Here is a 21,810-nt window from a genome sequence, read left to right as displayed (position 1 = left end):
TGTTGGAAGTTCTGGCCAGGGCAATCAGGCAGGAGAAGGAAATAAAGGGTATTCAATTAGGAAAAGAGGAAGTCAAATTGTCCCTGTTTGCAGACGACATGATTGTTTATCTAGAAAACCCCATCGTCTCAGCCCAAAATCTCCTTAAGCTGATAAGCAACTTCAGCAAAGTCTCAGGATACAAAATCAATGTACAAAAATCACAAGCATTCTTATACACCAACAACAGACAAACAGAGAGCCAAATCATGGGTGAACTCCCACAATTGCTTCAAAGAGAATAAAATACCTAGGAATCCAACTTACAAGGGATGTGAAGGACCTCTTCAAGGAGAACTACAAACCACTGCTCAAGGAAATAAAAGAGGATACAAACAAATGGAAGAACATTCCATGCTCATGGGTAGGAAGAATCAATATCGTGAAAATGGCCATACTGCCCAAGGTAATTTACAGATTCAATGCCATCCCCATCAAGCTACCAATGACTTTCTTCACAGAATTGGAAAAAACTACTTTAAAGTTCATATGGAACCAAAAAAGAGCCCGCATTGCCAAGTCAATCCTAAGCCAAAAGAACAAAGCTGGAGGCATCACACTACCTGACTTCAAACTATTCTACAAGGCTACAGTAACCAAAACAGCATGGTACTGGTACCAAAACAGAGATATAGATCAATGGAACAGAACAGAGCCCTCAGAAATAATGCCGCATGTCTACAACTATCTGATCTTTGACAAACCTGAGAAAAACAAGCAATGGGGAAAGGATTCCCTATTTAATAAATGGTGCTGGGAAAACTGGCTAGCCATATGTAGAAAGCTGAAACTGGATCCCTTCCTTACACCTTATACAAAAATCAATTCAAGATGGATTAAAGATTTAAACGTTAAACCTAAAACCATAAAAACCCTAGAAGAAAACCTAGGCATTACCATTCAGGACATAGGCGTGGGCAAGGACTTCATGTCCAAAACACCAAAAGCAATGGCAACAAAAGACAAAATTGACAAATGGGATCTAATTAAACTAAAGAGCTTCTGCACAGCAAAAGAAACTACCATCAGAGTGAACAGGCAACCTACAACATGGGAGAAAATTTTTGCAACCTACTCATCTGACAAAGGGCTAATATCCAGAATCTACAATGAACTCAAACAAATTTACAAGAAAAAAACAAACAACCCCATCAAAAAGTGGGCGAAGGACATGAACAGACACTTCTCAAAAGAAGACATTTATGCAGCCAAAAAACACATGAAGAAATGCTCATCATCACTGGCCATCAGAGAAATGCAAATCAAAACCACTATGAGATATCATCTCACACCATTTAGAATGGCAATCATTAAAAAGTCAGGAAACAACAGGTGCTGGAGAGGATGCGGAGAAATAGGAACACTTTTACACTGTTGGTGGGACTGTAAACTAGTTCAACCATTGTGGAAGTCAGTGTGGCGATTCCTCAGGGATCTAGAACTAGAAATACCATTTGACCCAGCCATCCCATTACTGGGTATATACCCAAATGAGTATAAATCATGCTGCTATAAAGACACATGCACACGTATGTTTATTGCGGCACTATTCACAATAGCAAAGACTTGGAACCAACCCAAATGTCCAACAATGATAGACTGGATTAAGAAAATGTGGCACATATACACCATGGAATACTATGCAGCCATAAAAAATGATGAGTTCATATCCTTTGTAGGGACATGGATGAAATTGGAAACCATCATTCTCAGTAAACTATCGCAAGAACAAAAAACCAAACACCGCATATTCTCACTCATAGGTGGGAATTGAACAATGAGATCACATGGACACAGGAAGGGGAATATCACACTCTGGGGACTGTGGTGGGGTCGGGGGAGGGGGGAGGGATAGCATTGGGAGATATACCTAATGCTAGATGACACATTAGTGGGTGCAGCGCACCAGCATGGCACATGTATACATATGTAACTAACCTGCACAATGTGCACATGTACCCTAAAACTTAGAGTATAATAAAAAAAAAAAAAAGAAAAAAAAAAGAAAATGTGGCACATATACACCGTGGAATACTATGCAGCCATAAAAAAGGATGAGTTCATGTCCTTTGTAGGGACATGGATGAAATTAGAAACCATCATTCTGAGCAAACTATCGCAAGGATAGAAAACCAAACACTGCATGTTCTCACTCACAGGTGGGAACTGAACAATGAAAACACTTGGACACAGGATGAGGATCATCACATACTGGGGCCTGACATGGGGTTGGGGGAGGGAGCAGGGATAGCATTAGGAGATTTACCTAATGTAAATTGCCAGTTAATGGGTGCAGCACACCAACATGGCAGATGTATACATATGCAACAAACCTGCATGCTGTACACATGTACCCTAGAACTTAAAGCATAATAATAAAAATAAATAAATAAATAGCACAAGAGACTAGTGGCTACCATACTGAACCCCACAGTAATCTAACAGAATGAGACTACTGATTTTAGGATCATGTATTACCTTTTCTGCTACAGCACTGGAATCAGCAATTTCTCCAACGGATCCTGTTTTTTTTTTAACAGGGAACAATCTTAGAGACCAAGATCCGCTACAAGATTTTGCTTGTGGACCCTTTCAGTAGACAAAGCTAGGAAATATATACATGTGTACATATATGTATACATATATATTACACACACATTTAAACATACATACATAAACTTCTGGATATATACAAGCATAGACATCAATATATAACTATTTTAGAATCATGGTTCATACTAATGCTTCCAATTCCAATCCATCTCTTCAGAGATCTTCTTTGCCTTCCTTCATTTTATTTTTCTGTGTCTCTTCATCCACTGAGAACTCTGGTTCCCAACAGTCAATATCAACTCATTTCATTGTGTGCTCAAACCTATAGATATCAAAAGTAATTTTAGAATTGTTTCACTCATACCAACATAAAAATCAAACCTATTAAGAAGAGCTGAGGATGTGTTTGCTTTTCCCTCCCTACCTTCCCCCAACTACAATGCAACCCAAGACAGAGGTTATAGTGTTGTTCAAAAAAATTTTTCAAAATTAAACAAAAAGTATACTCAGAGATGTGTCACTGTATGACCTATCCTTTCCACCCTGTTCCCCTTCCCTAACCATTCCATATAGTTAACCAACTTCATCTTTTTGTGGATGATACTTCTGGTGTTTCTTTTTCTAAAGATAGGTAGATTTGTGCACATTTTCTTCTTTCCTCTTATTTGTCACACAAAAGGTAGCATACCATATACACTTTCAGCACTTTGTTTTAGCATTTAACAACAAAGGTGATTAATTTTTACTGTTAGTGTGAGGAGAAGCCATTGAAGAGTTTTAAGTCTAAGAGTGATGGAATCTGATTTATGTTTCTGAAAAATCACTTTGGGCTCCTGTACTGGGAGCATGAGAAGAACTGGGGAGACCATTAGGGAGGCTATTGATATCATTCAGGTCAGAGATGATAAAGGCTAGAAACAGGGTGAAGTTGCACAGAGTATTATTTGTTCCCAACTTTTTTCTTCCACTTGGCCTTTGTTGTGGCTTTTCTGCTGGTGAAGTGTACTTCTCTGATCTACTGACTTGTGGCTTGGCCATGTGATTTAGTTTGACCAATAGAATATGAGCAGAAGTGAAAGTGCCAATTTTGAGCAAAGCTGTTAGAAAGCCTTGCCCATTTCTACTTGCCCACGTGTGCTCCTATTCTGTGAGAATAGAGAGAAACATGCTCTGACTAGACTCCACTCTTTTGACCTGTGTCCAAGAATAAGAAACAGATGAGGCATACCTGAACATCACTCATAGTCTTGCAGAGTCATAGACAACCTATAGACTGGTAGGTCAAAAAAAATTTCAGTTCTTAGCCATGAATATTTCGGAGCTATTTTTTACCATCATTACCACAGCAAAGCCTGACTAATGCAAGTGGCAGTAGTAGTGAGCTGAGAGTTGACAGATTTGGGATGGATTTTTATGATAAAGTTTATTGACACTGCTACATTAGATGTAGGGAGTAAGGTAAAGCAAAAAAATCAAGAATGAGATCTAGGTTTGGAGATGGATAGTGGTCCCTTTTACTCAGGTAGAGAAAAATAAGGAGGTTCAGAATGTGTTGGAAGCTAGAATAAACTACTGGTATTTCATCAGGAGTGATTTTGCCCATGAGGGGAGATTTAACAAGCTCTGGAAACAATTTTTGTTATCACAACTGGGAGGTGCTACTGGCATATAGTGGATAGAGGCCAGGGATGCTTCTAAGCATCCTACAGTGCACAGGACAGTCCCCCAAAACAAGAATTATCCAGCCCAAAATTTCAATAGTCCCAGGACTCAGAGATTCTAGAATACAGTGGTGTGTTATGTTTGAAGTGTCTATTAAATATCCAAGTGGATAAATTGTAAAAGAGATTTCTAGAGATTAGAGGAAGATCAGGGAGATAAAAGGTTGTGAGTAATTAATATACATAGACAGTATTTAAAATCATGGAACTGAATGAGACCACCTAGGGGAGGATATAAAGAGAGAAAAGAAGAGGCTTGAGGATTTGTCCCTCGTCCCTCCAACATTTAGAGATTGTAATGAAGAGGCAAACCCAGCTAAGGAGACTGAGAATGTTTAGTCAATGACGTAGGAGTAGACCAAGAGCCTGATATCCTGGAACCAAGCCAAGAAACTATTTTAAGGAAAAGAACACCTATTATGGTATATTTATTATTTAACATTGAATTTCCATTGTACAATTGGTGATATTTAATATTATAAACTCTGACAATAAAACCTTGCATTTTACACTTTATACATGTCAATGAGCTTTCAGACACCATATCTTGTATGGTTCTCACTACCGCACTGAATGAAATAAGGACAAAATTTGAGGTTACTAAAATTCAAACAGCCTCTGCTCTGATTTTACATAACAAGCTAGTGACAAACACAGGCCATAATTCATAATGGGAACAATCCAGAGACTGAAACAAATATTCCTGAGAAAAATCAATACTTATTGGAGATAATGAATCAAAATGGTTACAAACATGATTTTACTGGCAACAACTAAAATAAATATTTATCCAGTACATCCTAAATATCTGTCAAAGTTCTAAGACTACAGCAGTGAACAAAACAAAATCACTGCCCTTGTGGTGTTTACCTTACAGGGGCTCTCCAAAAGACCTGGGCTTGTATCCCAGTTCTTCTCTGTGACCTTGAGCAATTAACTTCCTGCAAACTTAGTTTTCTTTTCTAATGGCATTGATGATTCCTACCTCAGATTTCTGATTGAACATGGTGGAGCAAACTCAAGGTTCGCCTCTACACTCTCCTGAAACTCTATACTAAAATTACACTAAAGGAAGCAAAAGGAATAAATCCACAAAGACAAAAAGATTGAAAGAAAATAAAATGATAATGAACTTTGAAACCTAGAAAATAGATCAATAAATGGTAAACAATTTAGTAAATCAGAAAGCACTCAAACCCAAGGTAGCAATAGGGGAAATCCAGAAGCAGGTTGATTCATACTGTAGTGTAGTACAGTTGTCAGTACATTTTTTATGTAAAGGTCCAGATAGTAAATATTTCAAGCTTTCCATGCCATAGGGTCTCTGTCACAACTGTCCGTCTCTGCAGTCATAGATAATACATGTCTATGGACATGGCTGTGTTCCAAGAAAACTTTATTTATAAAAACAGGCAAAGATTGAAAGGACAAAGCAAATCATGATTTGGTTGGCAGATTACAGTTTGCCAAACCCTGGTATAACACCTCAGGGATGAAGGTACCAAATACTTCTGAAAGCAGCAGAGTAGGATCTAAAAATAGGATTGAAAGTGTGTAAAAAGAGGCAGATAGAATTCCAGGGCTCCTTTTCCACCCATCACAGACAGCTGACAGACCCCCATATCATACCAGGAGTCTCGAGGATTACTATGTGGAAAACTGAATTCAGCGGATGCCGGATGCAGGCACAGATTAAGGTGAATACGAGATTCCCTGATAAAAACAAGGGTATTAACTAAAAGAAATTCTCAAGCCCTAGTCCCCAGTCAGCTGGCAGAACCTGCAAGCAGGCTTAGATTCTTTTGACAAAAGATTAGTGGAGTCCTCTCTGGAAAAAGTTACCAACCCTCCAAAAATACCTAAAGATACTGCAAGTTGATGGCTCTCCAACAAAAAGGCCCAGCCAGAACCTTCTCGAGTAAAGCCTACCAGTTTATATCCATTCTCCATCCAAATACAGTTTCTAGTCTGTTTTGTTATTACTTCTATCTTAAAGAATAGCCCTCTCTTGAAAGACAGGATTCAAAATGAAAAGAGAGACAAAAATGTTAAAAAGAAAGACAATCCAAGAAACAGAGAAAATAGCCAAGAAAGTTTCAAAATATAATAATTAATCTCCTTGTAAAAGAAGAGAGTATATTGTATCCATGAAATAAAAATAAGAGGCTGAAAAAACAAAGAACCATCAGAGAACAAACAAACAAAAAAGGCTCTTGGAAATTGAAAATACAATATAGGAAGTGAAGAATTCAAAAGAAGGGTTGAAAAATAAAGTTGAGAAAATCTGCCAGAGACTAGAACAAGAAAATAAGAAAAAATAATAATAAAATGAGATGATTGACCAAGGAGGGTCTAACTTCCAAATAACAATCATTCCAAAAAGAAAGACCAGAGACAAATATGCTGTTTTCTAAAACTTTGATGTATTTTTATGAAAGCTTCCATTTTTTGGAGAGCAAAGAAATAATGTTATAAATTCATAACCCTTTAGATTTCTCTGTTGAGGCAAAACCTCCAGACAAGCCAGAAAAGGATCATTCACATTTCACCTCCAGTTTCTTCCGACACATATTATTCAAATCAGAAAAGCACTAACAAGTTAGTTTCCTCTTTTCCCAGACATACAAAAATGTCTCAAAAATTTCAATAAAATTCTCTTAAAATTCTCTACTATTTCTACTGAAAGATTTTATCAAGGCTTGTCATCCCACCTTCATTTGGGCCTGAGCATCCCTAGAATTCAATCTCTCCAGACATAATCCTCCAGTCTTCTGATAGATGTGGGAGGATCTTTCCCTGGCTGCAGTGGTAGGACATGAATACAGGATCCTAGCTGCCTCTTTTGAGCACTTTCAATCCATCATCCTGTTCAGATTCATTGCTCCACCACTTTCAGGTGTATCTCGTGCCTTCGATTCCTGCACCTTTTTCATATGCCTTCTGTTAAATTAGACATTAAACCCTTCAGACATTTGTGCACAAATGACAAATTCCTATAATCAATTATCCCCCAAAAGTTTTCCCATAAAAGTCACTAGACACAGATGCAAAAGGGCTACAGTTATGAATGGACACTTATAAAAAACCAATTCATTTGTATGCAAGAAGAGAAAAGTACTTACAGAGATGTGGCAGCCTGTTTTACAATTTCAGCCAAGGTCAAGAGCAAATACTATAGATCTATGAAAGTCCATTACTGTTTACCTTTCAAATTGTCATGGACCTTCAGATACTTTCACACACAGTTCAAAGACTCTCCAGCACAAATCCTGATTTTCAGTCTCTGAACTGAACTGAACAACAGGCGGTCAATCAGGTCCACCAGGCTCTCATCCTATACACAGCTCCTGGCATCCAGACTAGATCCTTTAGAATGCAGGATTCTCTGTTTAAAAAAAATAGTATTTTTATTATTTAACTGATTTTCAACCAGCAGTCATGATTTATAGAAACAGATTATTTTAGTTTCAATTTTATAAATGACAGAGATGTTTTAACCATGAATGGGTACAAAATAATAGCGTGAATAAGACCTAGTATTTATAGGACAACAGGGTGACTACATTCAATACTAACTTAATTGTACATTTTAAAATAACTAAAAGAGCTTTGCACCATGGCAGTATTGTAGCCAATGAGGTTTATCTGAGGTGTGATTATTGCTAATTGAAAACTTTTCCCAATACTCCACCATGATGACTTGTAACATAGTCAGTATTGGCAATTTTTGACAGTCTCCAGGGATATGGAGACTGAATATTTCAGTAAAAAAAATTATATATATATATATATATATAAAATAAATAAATAAAATACTAATTGGATTGTTTGAAACACAAAGAATAAATGCTTGAGGGGGATGGATACTCCACTCGCCATCATGTGATTATTTCACATTGCATGCTTGTATCAAAACATCCCATGTAGCCCATAAATATATACACCTTCTATATACCCATAAAAATTAAAAATTAAAAAACCTAAAAAGAGACATTTTAACAAAGACAGACATGTCAATGGCCATCTTTGACTCATGAACTTTGAAACTGAACACACTTGTCACCCTCTCATTAAAAACTCAATAGTCAGTAGTAACAGCATCAGAACATGAAAGTCAAGGAGTCACAAAAGGCTTAAAGTTACAGTTGTTGCAATATTCCTTGATCTAGGGACTGCTTCTCTGTTACACTGCATGCTTACAAGGTGAGTGAGAGTTTTGTTTTTGTTGTTGTTGTTGTTGTTGAAACCAAGACAAATAGCAAAGATAATTTTATCAGCCATCAGAAAATCAAATATTCAATGGCACAGAAAGTGGTGTGAGTAACTTGTCAACCCCACAGTTGAGAAAGACTATTAGTCCAACTAAACCAAAATCTGGTGGCCTTGAAGCAAACACATGGGTGTCCCAAGTGCCAGGAGATAAGACACTCCTTGAGAAATAAAAAACAAACAAACAAAAAGGTCATACATAAGTACCTAAATAGTCATCTATATTGCCTGTTATCTTCTACCAAAAGCAAACACATGCAGTGTTTTTGATAGCAAAGTCAAAAAAACAAAAACATATTTCAACGTTTCCTCCATTAATGAAGGCAAGAGAAGGGTGGCTTAAAAAAACAGAACTAGACTTAATCTAGAATCAAAGTAAGTGAAAGTGAAATCTTTATCACAAGATGGTAAGGTTCACCCCGAGAGTTAAGAAAGGCCAATCTGGGTTCAAGGGGCCCATGAGATTGCATATCTCAAACAATACAGTGTAGGTGACTCCAATAATTGGATGGGTCTGCGTAATCTTATCAAGGTCTCCATGGTAACTGTCCAAAGAAGACTCAAAGTTTAGCACTTAAAAAGTAATTTTATTTGCAAAATTTTATAAGGGGTTGTATCTGTTAGACAAAGTGGGTTCTCAATAAAGGGTATACCAAATATTTAAATTTAAAAACCTCTGGCCAGCTGCAGTGGCTCACACCTGTAATCCCAGCACTTTGGGAGGCAGAGGTGGGTGGATCACCTGAGGTCAAGAGTTCGAGACTAGCCTGGCCAACATGGAGAAACCTCTACTAAAAATACACACAAAAAATTAGCTGGTTGTGGTGGTGCACACCTGTAGTTCCAGCTACTCTCGGAGGCTGAGGCAGGAGAATCACTTGAACCCAGGAGGCAGAGATTGCAGTGAGCCAAGATCGCACCACTGCACTGCAGCCTGGGCAACAGAGGGAGACTCTGTCAAAAAACAAACAAACAAACAAAAAAAAACCTTCAAATTTTCAGTCTGTTTATAATTCTCTTTGGTGGAAAATAACAACTACTACACATAATTACCCTGTTTGCAAGGATCTTATGTATCTATCAGTATCAGCATTTTATTTAAGGAATCATCAACTTACAGGAAATGAAATTAAGCCTTCATCTACATTAGAGACTAGAAGAAAATACTGCATTCACAGGCACACATGTGTGTGCATGCACGTGTGTGTGTGGTTTATCTCAGAGAGTTTAAATGTTCTTAAACAAAATTGCAGCAGAGTAGGATATCTGTTTTGCTTCCTCACACTTCTATGACCTAATTACATCTTCTGTTTAAAGTACTTCACAGATAAAGCTCATATTATAGCCAATACCACAGAGAGCTTTATTTGAATGCCAGTTATGTCTTAGGAACTATTCTAAACGCTGGAAATATAGTGGTTAAGAAGATAGGAAAATCCCCTGCCCTCATCTGTGAAAACTGAGTAACATCCCCCAAAGAAAATTACTCAGTACCTCACACGTACACAAAATAGATGTCTAAGAAATATTTGCTGATTTAACTGAATTTTTATTAGAAGTTGAGTTCTAAGTGAAATTGTATTGTAGCAAGCTATTTGTAAATGGATAGTTGGGTGCATTTATTAAATCAACCAAATGTGAATTAATTAAAACTCACTATTTTTCACACACATATACACAAATAATGAAGCTAATGTTTGTTAGAAGGAGTCAGCCAAATTAATGATTGTTACATACTAACACATTAGTACCTAACGATAGCTGCCTTAATCTTAATCTTTTGACTATTTCCATTTCTAAGTCATTACAATTAAAAATCCTCTTATATTTGTCCATAGACACCTGAACTCCTCCTTTTAAATTAAAAATGAAGGTTGGGTGTGGTGGCTCACACCTGTAATCCTAACATTCTGGGAGGCCAAGGTGAGCAGATTCCTTGAGTCCAGGAGTTCAAGATCCACCTGGACAACATAACAAAACCCCGTATCTACTAAAAAGTACAAAAAACTAGCCAGGCACAGTGGTGCATGCCTGTAGTCCCAGCTACTCAGAGGCTGAGGTGGGAGGATCATCTGAGCTCAAGAGATCAAGGCTGTAGTGAGCTGAGATCACACCAATGCACTCCAGCCTAGGCAACTAGAGTAAGACTCTGTCTCAAAAAAATTAATTAATTAATTAAAAATGAATTGTTGGCCGGGGCGGTGGCTCACACCTGTAATCCCAGCACTTTGGGAGGCGGAGATGGGCGGATCACGAGGTCAGCAGATCGAGACCATCCTGGCTAACATGGTGAAACCCCATCTCTACTAAAAATACAAAAAATAAGCCGAGCATGTTGGCAGGCACCTGTAGTCCCAGCTACTCAGAAGGCTGAGGCAGGAGAATGGTGTGAACCCGGGAGGTGGAGCTCTCAGTAAGCCGGGATCACACCACTGCACTCCAGCCTGGGGGATAGAGTGAGACTCCATCTCAAAAAAAAAAAAAAATGAATTGTTGAAGGGATTTCATATATTGCAATTTAGCAAAAGTTTTTTAATGCAAATTTGGCTCACAGTGAGTACAGTTTTTTTCCTCAGTCACTAATATTGACAGATCCCTTCCCAAGTCACCCAAAATTTGTGAAGCTGTGGGCAACTCTGAGGCAAGGATTCTCTCCTCAAAAAGTCCAGCATACCACCAGACATAGAGCAAAACTGCAGCCAATGACTGTTAGATTGGCCAAATTTATTGCTTTCCACTAGAAAGCCAGTGTTAACACAACATTGCAACTAATTTCTTTTCATATTTCTTTTTTAGAATTTGGCTTATGATACAGTGATGTCAGGAAGATGGAGTGAATCCATCCTTTGTCTCTCACATAGAGAACAACTGGACAGCTATCCATGAATAAAAATAGCTCTGGAAGAGCTCAGAAGTCCACTTAAGAAGCTACAGAAATGCAGTGGAATAAATCCAAAAATAACCACATAAAATGGGGAGAAAAAACATTTTTTACTTTACCTGCATCATCCTATCCCCTGGCCATCACTTCTAATCACAGAGAGGGAATACTCTAGCTCATGAGTTCCCCTCAAGGAAAAAAAGAATAAGTTAAACAACCGACTTCCTTAGACTTCTGGAGCACTGCCTGAATTACATTCTTCGGCTTCACCCCATCTAGATCACTGGGGAGACTGGCATAACTAAGATGTCTGGAGACAGCTTGGAACAAAGAGTGGGCACTAACAATATCAGCCACACAATGGGAGCTACCATGGTTCCCCATGGCATACTCTGCACAGGAATTCTGAAGCCCCCTCCACTGAGGACTTCAACAGCCCTTGAAGCCATTGTGCAGCCCCACAGCTTTCACTGCTGAAGAACCATCCCCCAACCCTGCCAGAGTTTGCCATGACAGACCCCAGTGGCCTACTCTGCAGAGGACCCTAGCAGCTTTTGCTGGTGAGGAAACCAACAGCCATCACAACTGCAGCAGAATCCCACAACTTTCACCACTAGGTTGTGCCTGCCACCATCCCTGGCTTCTGCAGCTGTGTGTGCCAAGTAGTGGGTCCCAACTCCCACCACCAGTCCCTACCACCATTCTCGCTTCTACAGCTGGCCCCTGCAGTCAAACATATATATACCAAAAGCCTGGTTCTCACAGCTGTGCACTTTTGGTATCAAAGTCTATTTTATCTGATATGAGTATAGCTAACTCTGCTCTCTTTTGGTTTTAATTTGCTTGAAATATCTTCTATCTCTTCACTTTTAGTCTATGTTCACTGTTTTTTGTCCTTAAAAGTGAAGTGAGTCTTCTCAGCAGCATATAGTTGTGTCTGTTTTTTATCCATTGAGTCACTGTATGTCTTTTGATTGATAAACCTCACCCCCAACATAAGCTATCACAACCAAATATGGGACCATAGCTGCCTGTGTAGCTATGCACATAATCAGCATCATTCCTGGCCCCTGCAGATGCAAACACACAATCAGCTTGTTCTGACTCCTATTGCCAGCCCCTACTACCAAACACATGCCTGCAGCTGGCCCATGCAGCTATATACATGTTCGCCAGCAGCCCCAGCCCCCATAGCTGCATATGGGCATGCAATCAGCCCCACTCCCCAGAACCTACACCCACCAGCATGTTTGCACTCACAGCCAGCCCCTGCAACCACACATATGCCCACTGCTAACTTGGGCCCACAGCTGCACACAAACACAATCCCTGTTGCTGTTACCTACTTTTGGGCATGTACTCATAGCTCTCTTTGCAACCACACACATACATGCTGCTCTGGTTCCTATAGCCATGCACATGCATACCACTGGCCACCACCACCATATGTCTGCCTATAGTCTGCCCCAGACCTCCCCCTTGACTCTGGCCCTCACTGCTGTACATGTGCCCTCAACTAGCCTCTATCATCACAAATGTGTTTCAGCCAGCCACTTCAGCCAAGCGTATATACAATGACAGCCCCTACTGCTGAATACCTCATTCCCTTGATGCTGGACTCACAGGCAACATAGAGGATGACAACAGCCCTCACAGCTACTGCAGACATTCTGCAGTTCTTGCCTCCAAGGACCATGTAGTTGTCAATGTCGCAGACCTCAGCTGTGTAAGAAGACAAGTCACCCTGCTCTTCCATGACCTGGAGCCACTGCATTCCCCCCAGCCTTGGTGTCCCACATCTCTAGATCCAATGTCACAGCACACTTCAGCATGCTCCCCCATAGGTGAATGTCTTTTACTATCAAAGCCAGTCCATTAAGTCTGGAAGATATGAATGCATCTTCAAATGTGTAGAAAAGACTACAAGGATCACAATAAATCAGGAAACATGACATCACTAAAGAAATACAATAAATTTCCAGTAACAAATCCCAAAGAATTGGAGATGTGCATATTTCCTGACAAAGAATTCAAGATAATTGTTCTAAAGAAACTCAACAAGCTACAAGAGAACATAAATAATTTTATGAATTCATAGAAGAATAAAATAAGTTCAACAAAAAGATAGGCAATTTTTAATAAAAGTTTTGAAGATGAAGAATACAATGACAACTATAAAATACAATAGAAAGCTTCAACAATATAATAACCAAACACAAGAGAGAATAGGCAACCTTGAAGAGAGATCATTTTGAATTATCTAGTTGAAAGGGAAAAAAGAAAAAAATAATGAAAAGGAATGTTTTAAGCCTATAGGATTTATGGGACACCATCAAGAGACCTAACATTTACATTATAGGGGTTCCAAAAGAAGAAAAAAGGATAGAAAGTTTATTTGAAAAAATAATGCTTGAAAACTTCCCAAATCTTGGGAAAAATATGGATACCCAGATACATGAAGCTCAGAGATCTCTAATAACATTCAACCAAATAATATTTAATCAAGGCACATTATCATCAAACTCAAATATCAAAGAAAGAGAGATGTGTTTGAAGGTATCATGAGAAAAGAAGCATACCACATCCAAAGGAACACAAACAAAGCTATCAGCTGATTTCTCAGAAGAAATCTTGCAGGGCAGGAGAAAGTGGGTTGACATATTCAAAGTGGTAAAAGAAAAAGAACTGTGAGCACAAATAATTTACTCAGCAAATCTGCCCTTCAGAAACTAAGGAGAGATAAGGGCTTTCTGAGACAAACAAAAGCTAAGGGACTTTATCACCACTAGGCCGGCCTTACAATAAATGTTAAAGAAAATACTTCTAGCTGAAGAAAAGCCACTAATTGGCTGCATAAATGTCTTCTTTTGAGAAGTGTCTGTTCATGTCCTTCGCCCACTTTTTGATGGGGTTGTTTGTTTTTTTCTTGTAAATTTGTTTGAGTTCATTGTAGATTCTGGATATTAGCCCTTTGTCAGATGAGTAGGTTGCAAAAATTTTCTCCCATGTTGTAGGTTGCCTGTTCACTCTGATGGTAGTTTCTTTTGCTGTGCAGAAGCTCTTTAGTTTAATTAGATCCCATTTGTCAATTTTGTCTTTTGTTGCCATTGCTTTTGGTGTTTTGGACATGAAGTCCTTGCCCACGCCTATGTCCTGAATGGTAATGCCTAGGTTTTCTTCTAGGGTTTTTATGGTTTTAGGTTTAACGTTTAAATCTTTAATCCATCTTGAATTGATTTTTGTATAAGGTGTAAGGAAGGGATCCAGTTTCAGCTTTCTACATATGGCTAGCCAGTTTTCCCAGCACCATTTATTAAATAGGGAATCCTTTCCCCATTGCTTGTTTTTCTCAGGTTTGTCAAAGATCAGATAGTTGTAGACATGCGGCATTATTTCTGAGGGCTCTGTTCTGTTCCATTGATCTATATCTCTGTTTTGGTACCAGTACCATGCTGTTTTGGTTACTGTAGCCTTGTAGAATAGTTTGAAGTCAGGTAGTGTGATGCCTCCAGCTTTGTTCTTTTGGCTTAGGATTGACTTGGCAATGCGGGCTCTTTTTTGGTTCCATATGAACTTTAAAGTAGTTTTTTCCAATTCTGTGAAGAAAGTCATTGGTAGCTTGATGGGGATGGCATTGAATCTGTAAATTACCTTGGGCAGTATGGCCATTTTCACGATATTGATTCTTCCTACCCATGAGCATGGAATGTTCTTCCATTTATTTGTATCCTCTTTTATTTCACTGAGCAGTGGTTTGTAGTTCTCCTTGAAGAGGTCCTTCACATCCCTTGTAAGTTGGATTCCTAGGTATTTTATTCTCTTTGAAGCAATTGGGAATGGGAGTTCACTCATGATTTGGCTCTCTGTTTGTCTGTTGTTGGTGTATAAGAATGCTTGTGACATTTATGCAGCCAAAAAACACATGAAAAAATGCTCATCATCACTAGCTATCAGAGAAACGCAAATCAAAACCACTATGAGATACCATCTCACACCAGTTAGAATGGCAATCATTAAAAAGTCAGGAAACAACAGGTGCTGGAGAGGATGTGGAGAAATAGGAACACTTTTACACTGTTGGTGGGACTGTAAACTAGTTCAACCATTGTGGAAGTCAGTGTGGCGATTCCTCAGGGATCTAGAACTAGAAATACCATTTGACCCAGCCATCCCATTACTGGGTATATACCCAAAGGACTATAAATCATGCTGCTATAAAGACACATGTACACGTATGTTTATTGCGGCATTATTCACAATAGCAAAGACTTGGAACCAACCCAAATGTCCAACAATGATAGACTGGATTAAGAAAATGTGGCACATATACACCATGGAATACTATGCAGCCATAAAAAAGGATGAGTTCGTGTCCTTTGTAGGGACATGGATGAAATTGGAAATCATCATTCTCAGTAAACTATCGCAAGAACAAAAAACCAAACACCGCATATTCTCACTCATAGGTGGGAATTGAACAATGAGATCACATGGACACAGGAAGGGGAATATCACACTCTGGGGACTGTGGTGGGGTGGGGTGGGGGGAGGGATAGCATTGGGAGGTATACCTAATGCTAGATGACGAGTTAGTGGGTGCAGCGCACCAGCATGGCACATGTATACATATGTAACTAACCTGCACAATGTGCACATGTACCCTAAAACTTAAAGTATAATAAAAAGAAAAAAAAAGAAAAGCCACTAATTAGTACCATAAAAACACGTGAAAGCATAAAACTCACTATTAAAGTGAATTTGTGCTCAGAATATTCAAATACTGTCATGGTGGTGAATAAATTACCTATAGCTCTATTATAAAGGTTAAAAGACAAAAGTATTAAAAATAACTATAGATACAATAATTTGTTAATGATACACAATATAAAACGATGTGAATTGTGATATCAAAAACATAAAATGTGGGAGGGATAGTAAAAGTGCACAGCTTTTATATGCTAAAGTTAAGTTGTTGTTAACTTAAAACAGGCTTGTAAAACTATAAGATGTTTTATGATGTTTTATGCATGCCTCATCATAACCACAAAACAAAAACCCATAGTTGATACATAGAAGACAAGGGAATCAAAGCAAACCACTACAGAAAAATCATCAAATCACAGAAGAAGGCAACAAGAGAGAAAGAAAGGAGTTAAGGATCTATAAAACAATCAGAAAATAATTAATGAAATGGCAATAGTGAATTCTTACCTACCAATAATTGCTATAGATGAAAATGGATTAAAATTCACAAATCAAAAAACATAGCATTATGTCTACAAGAGACTCACATTACCTTTAGAAAATGCTGTGATGGTTAACATTAGTTGTCATCCTGACTGGATTAAAGGATTCCTAGATGGCTGGCAAAGTATTGTTTTGGGGTGTGTCTGTGAGGATGTTGCCAAAGGAAATTTACATTTGGGTCAGTGGACTGGAAGAGGAAGACCTAGGTGGAAGAAGTCATGGGGGTAGTCTTGCTTGCTGAGTCTTCTGGCTCCCACTTTCTTTCCATGTCAGATGCTTGCTTCCTCTCCTCCTGCCCTTGGACATCAGACTCCAGGTTTTTCAGCCTTTAGACTCTGAGACTTGCAGAAGTGCCTTTGATATGGGAAAGGGAGTCAATGGAGATTATTTTGGACCTTTTAAGATGTAACAGCTACCCTGCTGGGTTTTGAACTTGAATGGGGACTGTAGCCCCTTTCTTTTCTCATTTTTGGAATAGGAATGTTTATACAATGCCTGTATTCCTATTGTATCTTGAAAATAAATAATTTGTTTTTTATTTTATAGGCTCATAGGCAGAAGGAAATTGTGATATCTGAGCATACTTTGGACTTTGGACTTTTGAATTGATGCTGGAATAAGTTAAGACCTGGGGAACAATTAGGAAGGCGTGATTTTATTTTGCAATGGGAGAGGGACATGAGATTTGGGGGTGCCAGAGGCAGAATGATAGAGCTTGGGTATTTGTCCCTGCCCAAATCTCATGTTGAAATGTAATACCCAATGTTGGAGATGAGGCTGGTGAAAGGTGTTTGGATTGTAGGGGAGGATCTCTCATGAGTTGGTGTTGTCCTCATGACAGTAAATGAGTTCTCAAGTGATCTGGTTGTTTAAAAGTGTGGCACTTCCCCCTTCCTTGCTCCTGCTTTCACTTTGTGACTTACTGCTTCCACTTTGCTCTCTGCCATGAGTAAAAGCTCACCAGAAGCCGAGCAGGTACTGTCATCATGCTTGTATAGCCTGCAAGAACAGCAAACCAATTAAATCTCTTTTCTTTAAAAATTAACCAGTCTCAGGTATTTCTTTATAGTAATACAAGAACAGCCTGATACACGTGCAAACACTTAAAGTGAAGGGAGAGGAGAAGATATTCTATGAAAATGGAAACCAAAAGCATAGCAGGGGTATCTATACTTATACCTAACAAAACAGATTTTAAGTCAAAAACTGTAACAAGAGATTAAAAAATGTTATTATATCATGATAAAGAGGACAACACATCAATAGGACACAACAAATGTAAATATATATGCACCCAACATTGGAGAAATTAGTATATTTTTAAAATATTAACAGGGCTGATGGGAGAAATGCACAGCAGTACAGTAACAGTTGAGAACTTTAATGCCCCACAACAATGGGCAGATCATCTAAACAGAAAATCAATAAGAGAACACTGGACTTGAACTATATACTAAACAGACCTAATAGACATAAAGAACATTCCATCTAACAGCAACAGAACACACATTCTTTTCAAGCACACAGGAAACATTCTCCAGGATATATTATATGTTAGGCCAGAAAATAAGTCCCAAAATACTTAAGAACACTGAAATCATATCAAGTATCTTTTCTGACCACAATGTTATGAAACTAGAAATCAATAAAAGAAGGAAAATTCACAAGTATGTGGAAATTAAATGACATGCTCATAAACAATCATGAATCAAAGTAGCAATTCAAAAAGGAAAATAAAAAATATATTAAGAAACACAACATATCAAAACTTATAAGATGCAGCGAAAGCAGTTCTGAGGGAAGATTGTAACAATAAATAACTACATTAAAAAAGACGCCAATTTTTTAATCAGCGTGGCAGATTAGAGGCTTTTAGCATGCCTTGGCCACTTGAAAATAGCAAGATAATGTATAAAGATCAACTCTGTGAGCTTTAATCCAAGAAGTAAAATGGGAATCCACTGAATCATGAAGGACAACCCAGATCCCAGTGAGGATAAAGCTGACAAACAACCACTGTAACAGTGTCCTCTGATAAAGCTGACAAACAACCACTGTAACAGTGTCCACCTGATAAAAATGAGTAAAGCCCAGGTATGTAAGAGAGGCAGAGAGCTTCCCTCTGTGATTCACCTCTCTACTGGTGATCAGAGCAACCCATGCCATGGTAGAGCAATTTGATTTTCCCTAGCCCTTGAGTTAACTTGGGGAGAGGCTTGGAGACATCATGAAGAAAAGACACTGGGAAAAGGTGTAGACATTTCCTCAGACCCAGGACCAAGTGCAGGATGCCATTTTTAATATGAGTGCATATAAATTTAGCCATTCTTTAGCAACCTGGCAGCATGGCCATGCAGGCATTTTAGTCTCGGGCCAGAGACAGAAGCGCCTGCTCAAGTGTGGGGAAGGAGCCACCACAGCCAGAATTACGGAAAGAGTCTCAGCAGTAGGAGCTGGAAATTTGTTTTCACCTGTTGCAAGCCTGGGGCAGGAGGAGAGCAGGTAGCATTGCAGATTCTTTTGAGCAGTAAGATTTCAGCCAAGCCTAGCTTGCTGTCCTGGAACTGGTCTGTATGTGACATTGCTGGGTGCCCCATACTGCTCACCGGAAATTGTGGTGCAGCAGGACCCTCTCTAATCCATCCCAGGCAGAAATCCAGGCATTTAAAGCACATGTTTGCCTGGACTAGAAGGCTGAGTTGCCCCACAGTTTATGGAAATAGATCAGGGTACAGCAACACCCTCTCTGCCCTTTTACCAGACAGATCACCAGGAATCTCGAGCACTCATGTGCCTAGTTCAGCAGCCTGAGCCATGTCAACCTTCCCATATGTAGATTGAGGTACCATGGGTCCTTCTCCACTCCATGCACATTCAGATATCCAGGGATTTGGAGTACCTAGTCACCTGGATCACTAGCCTGAGCTGCCCTACACTTCCTGTGCAGAGATCCCAGTGCAAGGAGGCCGTCTCAGATTCATGCTCAAGCAGATCTCCAGGCATTCACAGTACCTACTCATCTGGCTCAGTGGCCTGAGCCACTTCACACATTCTGAACATAGATCATGGTGCAGTGAGGCCCTCTCTGTGCCAAACCCAGGCAGATCTCCAGGCATTCGAAGCACCAGTTCACCTTAATCAGCAGCATAAGCTGCATCACCATTTCTTGTGCAGAGATCCATGTATGAGGGGGAAGGAGGCTGTCAGCTACACACCCAGGCAGATCTCCAGGCATTCAGAGCAACTGTCTACTTGGATTAACACCCTGAGTCAGTCCACCCAATCGTGCAGAGATCTTGGTGCAGTGGGACCCTCCCCACAAGCCACAGCAAATCTCCAGGCATTCAGAGCACACACTAGCCTGCAATAGCAGCCTGAATTGCCCAAATATTCCTGTCAAAACTGTGATATAGGGAACTCTCCCTGCTCCATGTACAAGCAGGTCTCCAGGCATCTGGAACACTCACTCTCTTGGGTTAGGAGTGTAGGCAACCTCCCAGCCCCATGCAAGAACCTGGAGGCAAGGAGATCTAACAGATTCATGCCTAGGCACACCTCTGGGTACTTAACAGCTGCTCACTAGATTCTCCCCTGGCATGCCTGTCATTTGGGGACCTGTAGGTGGTCTAACCCAGTTCAATCCCACCCATTTTTGTCCTCACCACCTGGGGACTGAGCAGGGAGCTCAGACCACTGTGCACTGAATTTTGTTCAGTTCTGCTCTGATCATAGTTTTTTCTTTTCTTTTGCTAACTTTGGGGTTAGTTTGTTCTTATCTTTTTGGTTTCTCTAGATGTGGTGTTAGATCGTTAATTTGAGATCTTCCTAACACTTGGAGGTAGGTCTTTAGCATTACGCTTTCCTCTTAACACTGCTTCTGTTGCATCCCAGGGATTTTGGTACATTGTGCCTCTGTTTTCATTATTTCACAGATTTTTTTGATTTCTGTGTCAATGTTGTTTACCCAAAAGTCATTTAGGAGCAAGTTGTTTAATTTCCATGTAATTTTGCTGTTTTGAGAGATCTTCTTGGTATTAATTACTGTTTTTATTTCACTTTCACTGAGAGTGTGCTTAGTATGATTTTGACTCTTAAAAATATATTGACATTTGCTCTACATCTGTGCATGTGTTTGATCTTCGAGTTCCATGTGGAGACAAGAATGTATATTCTGTGGCTGATGCATGGAGTGTTCTGTAGATGTCTATTAGGTCTACCTGGTCACATGTCAAGTTAAAGCCCAGAATTTTTTGTCAGTTTTCTGCCTCTATGGTCTGTCTAGTGTTGTTTGTGGGGTTTTGAAGTTCCCTACTATTATTTTGTGGCTGTCTATGTCTTTCCATAGGTCTGTAAGTACTTGTTTTATGCATCTGGGTGTGCCCATGTTAGGTGCAGATATATTTAGAATAGTTAAGTCTTCTTGTTGAATTGAACCCTTTATTGGGTTCAATTTATCCTTTTTTTTACTTTCGTTGGTTTAAACTCTGTTTAATCTGATATAAGAATAGTGACCCCTGCTCTTATTTGTTTTCCATCTGTGGGGCTGATCTTTCTCCCTTTACTTTGAGCCTATAGGTATTGTTAAGTGTGAAATGGGTCTCTTGAAGACAGCAGACTGATGGGTCTTTTTTTAGCCACTGTGCCATTCTGCAATTTAAGTGGGGCATTTAGAACATTTATATTCAAGATTCATTTAGATTCAGGATTAATATTGATATGTGACCTTTTGATCCTATCATGAAGTTGTTAGCTGGCTGCTTTGTAATTTCTATTGTGTGGTTGCTTTGTAGCATATATGGACTATGTACAAGTGTTTTTGTGGTAGCAGGTATCTTTGCTTTGTTTCCATGTTTAGAATTCTCTTAAGCATCTCTTGTAAGTCTGGTCTAGTGATTAAGAAAATTCTCTTAGTGCTTGCTTGTCTGGATAAGATGTTATTTCTCCTCTACTTATGAAGCTTTGTTTGGTGAAATATGAAATTCTTGGTTGGAATTTCTTTTTTTAATGAATGCTTAAAATAGGCCCCCAATCTTTCCTGGCTTGTAACTTTTCTGCTGAGAAGTCTGCTCTTAGACTAATTAGGCTCCCTTTTTAGGTTAT

The 21,810-nt window shown here is 39.2% G+C and overlaps 1 long non-coding RNA gene and 1 pseudogene across 4 annotated transcripts in view; one reads left to right on the top strand and one right to left on the bottom strand.

The window, feature by feature from the left end:
- Positions 1–2,399: 2,399 nt before the first annotated feature.
- Positions 2,400–21,810, bottom strand: part of LOC101928842 (uncharacterized) — an 88,319-nt gene continuing 68,908 nt past the window's right edge. For 3 of the 4 annotated variants that reach the window (XR_002956361.1, XR_001744239.1, XR_001744243.1), the window contains 3 exons: positions 7,518–7,698; positions 7,025–7,253; positions 2,400–2,914 (listed from right to left, as the gene is read on the bottom strand). This is a non-coding gene — a long non-coding RNA (uncharacterized LOC101928842). Of the gene's footprint in view, positions 2,915–7,024; positions 7,254–7,517; positions 7,699–16,759; positions 17,065–17,633; positions 17,830–21,810 lie in introns of those variants that run through there. The other variant, XR_001744242.1, reaches the window with a different exon arrangement.
- Positions 7,919–8,068, top strand: RNU4-12P (RNA, U4 small nuclear 12, pseudogene; annotated as a pseudogene).

Source organism: Homo sapiens, chromosome 6 (genome assembly GCF_000001405.40).
Source record: "Homo sapiens chromosome 6, GRCh38.p14 Primary Assembly".
In the NCBI taxonomy this organism is placed as follows: Eukaryota; Metazoa; Chordata; class Mammalia; order Primates; family Hominidae; genus Homo; species Homo sapiens.
This window is presented reverse-complemented; position numbering and strand designations above follow the sequence as displayed.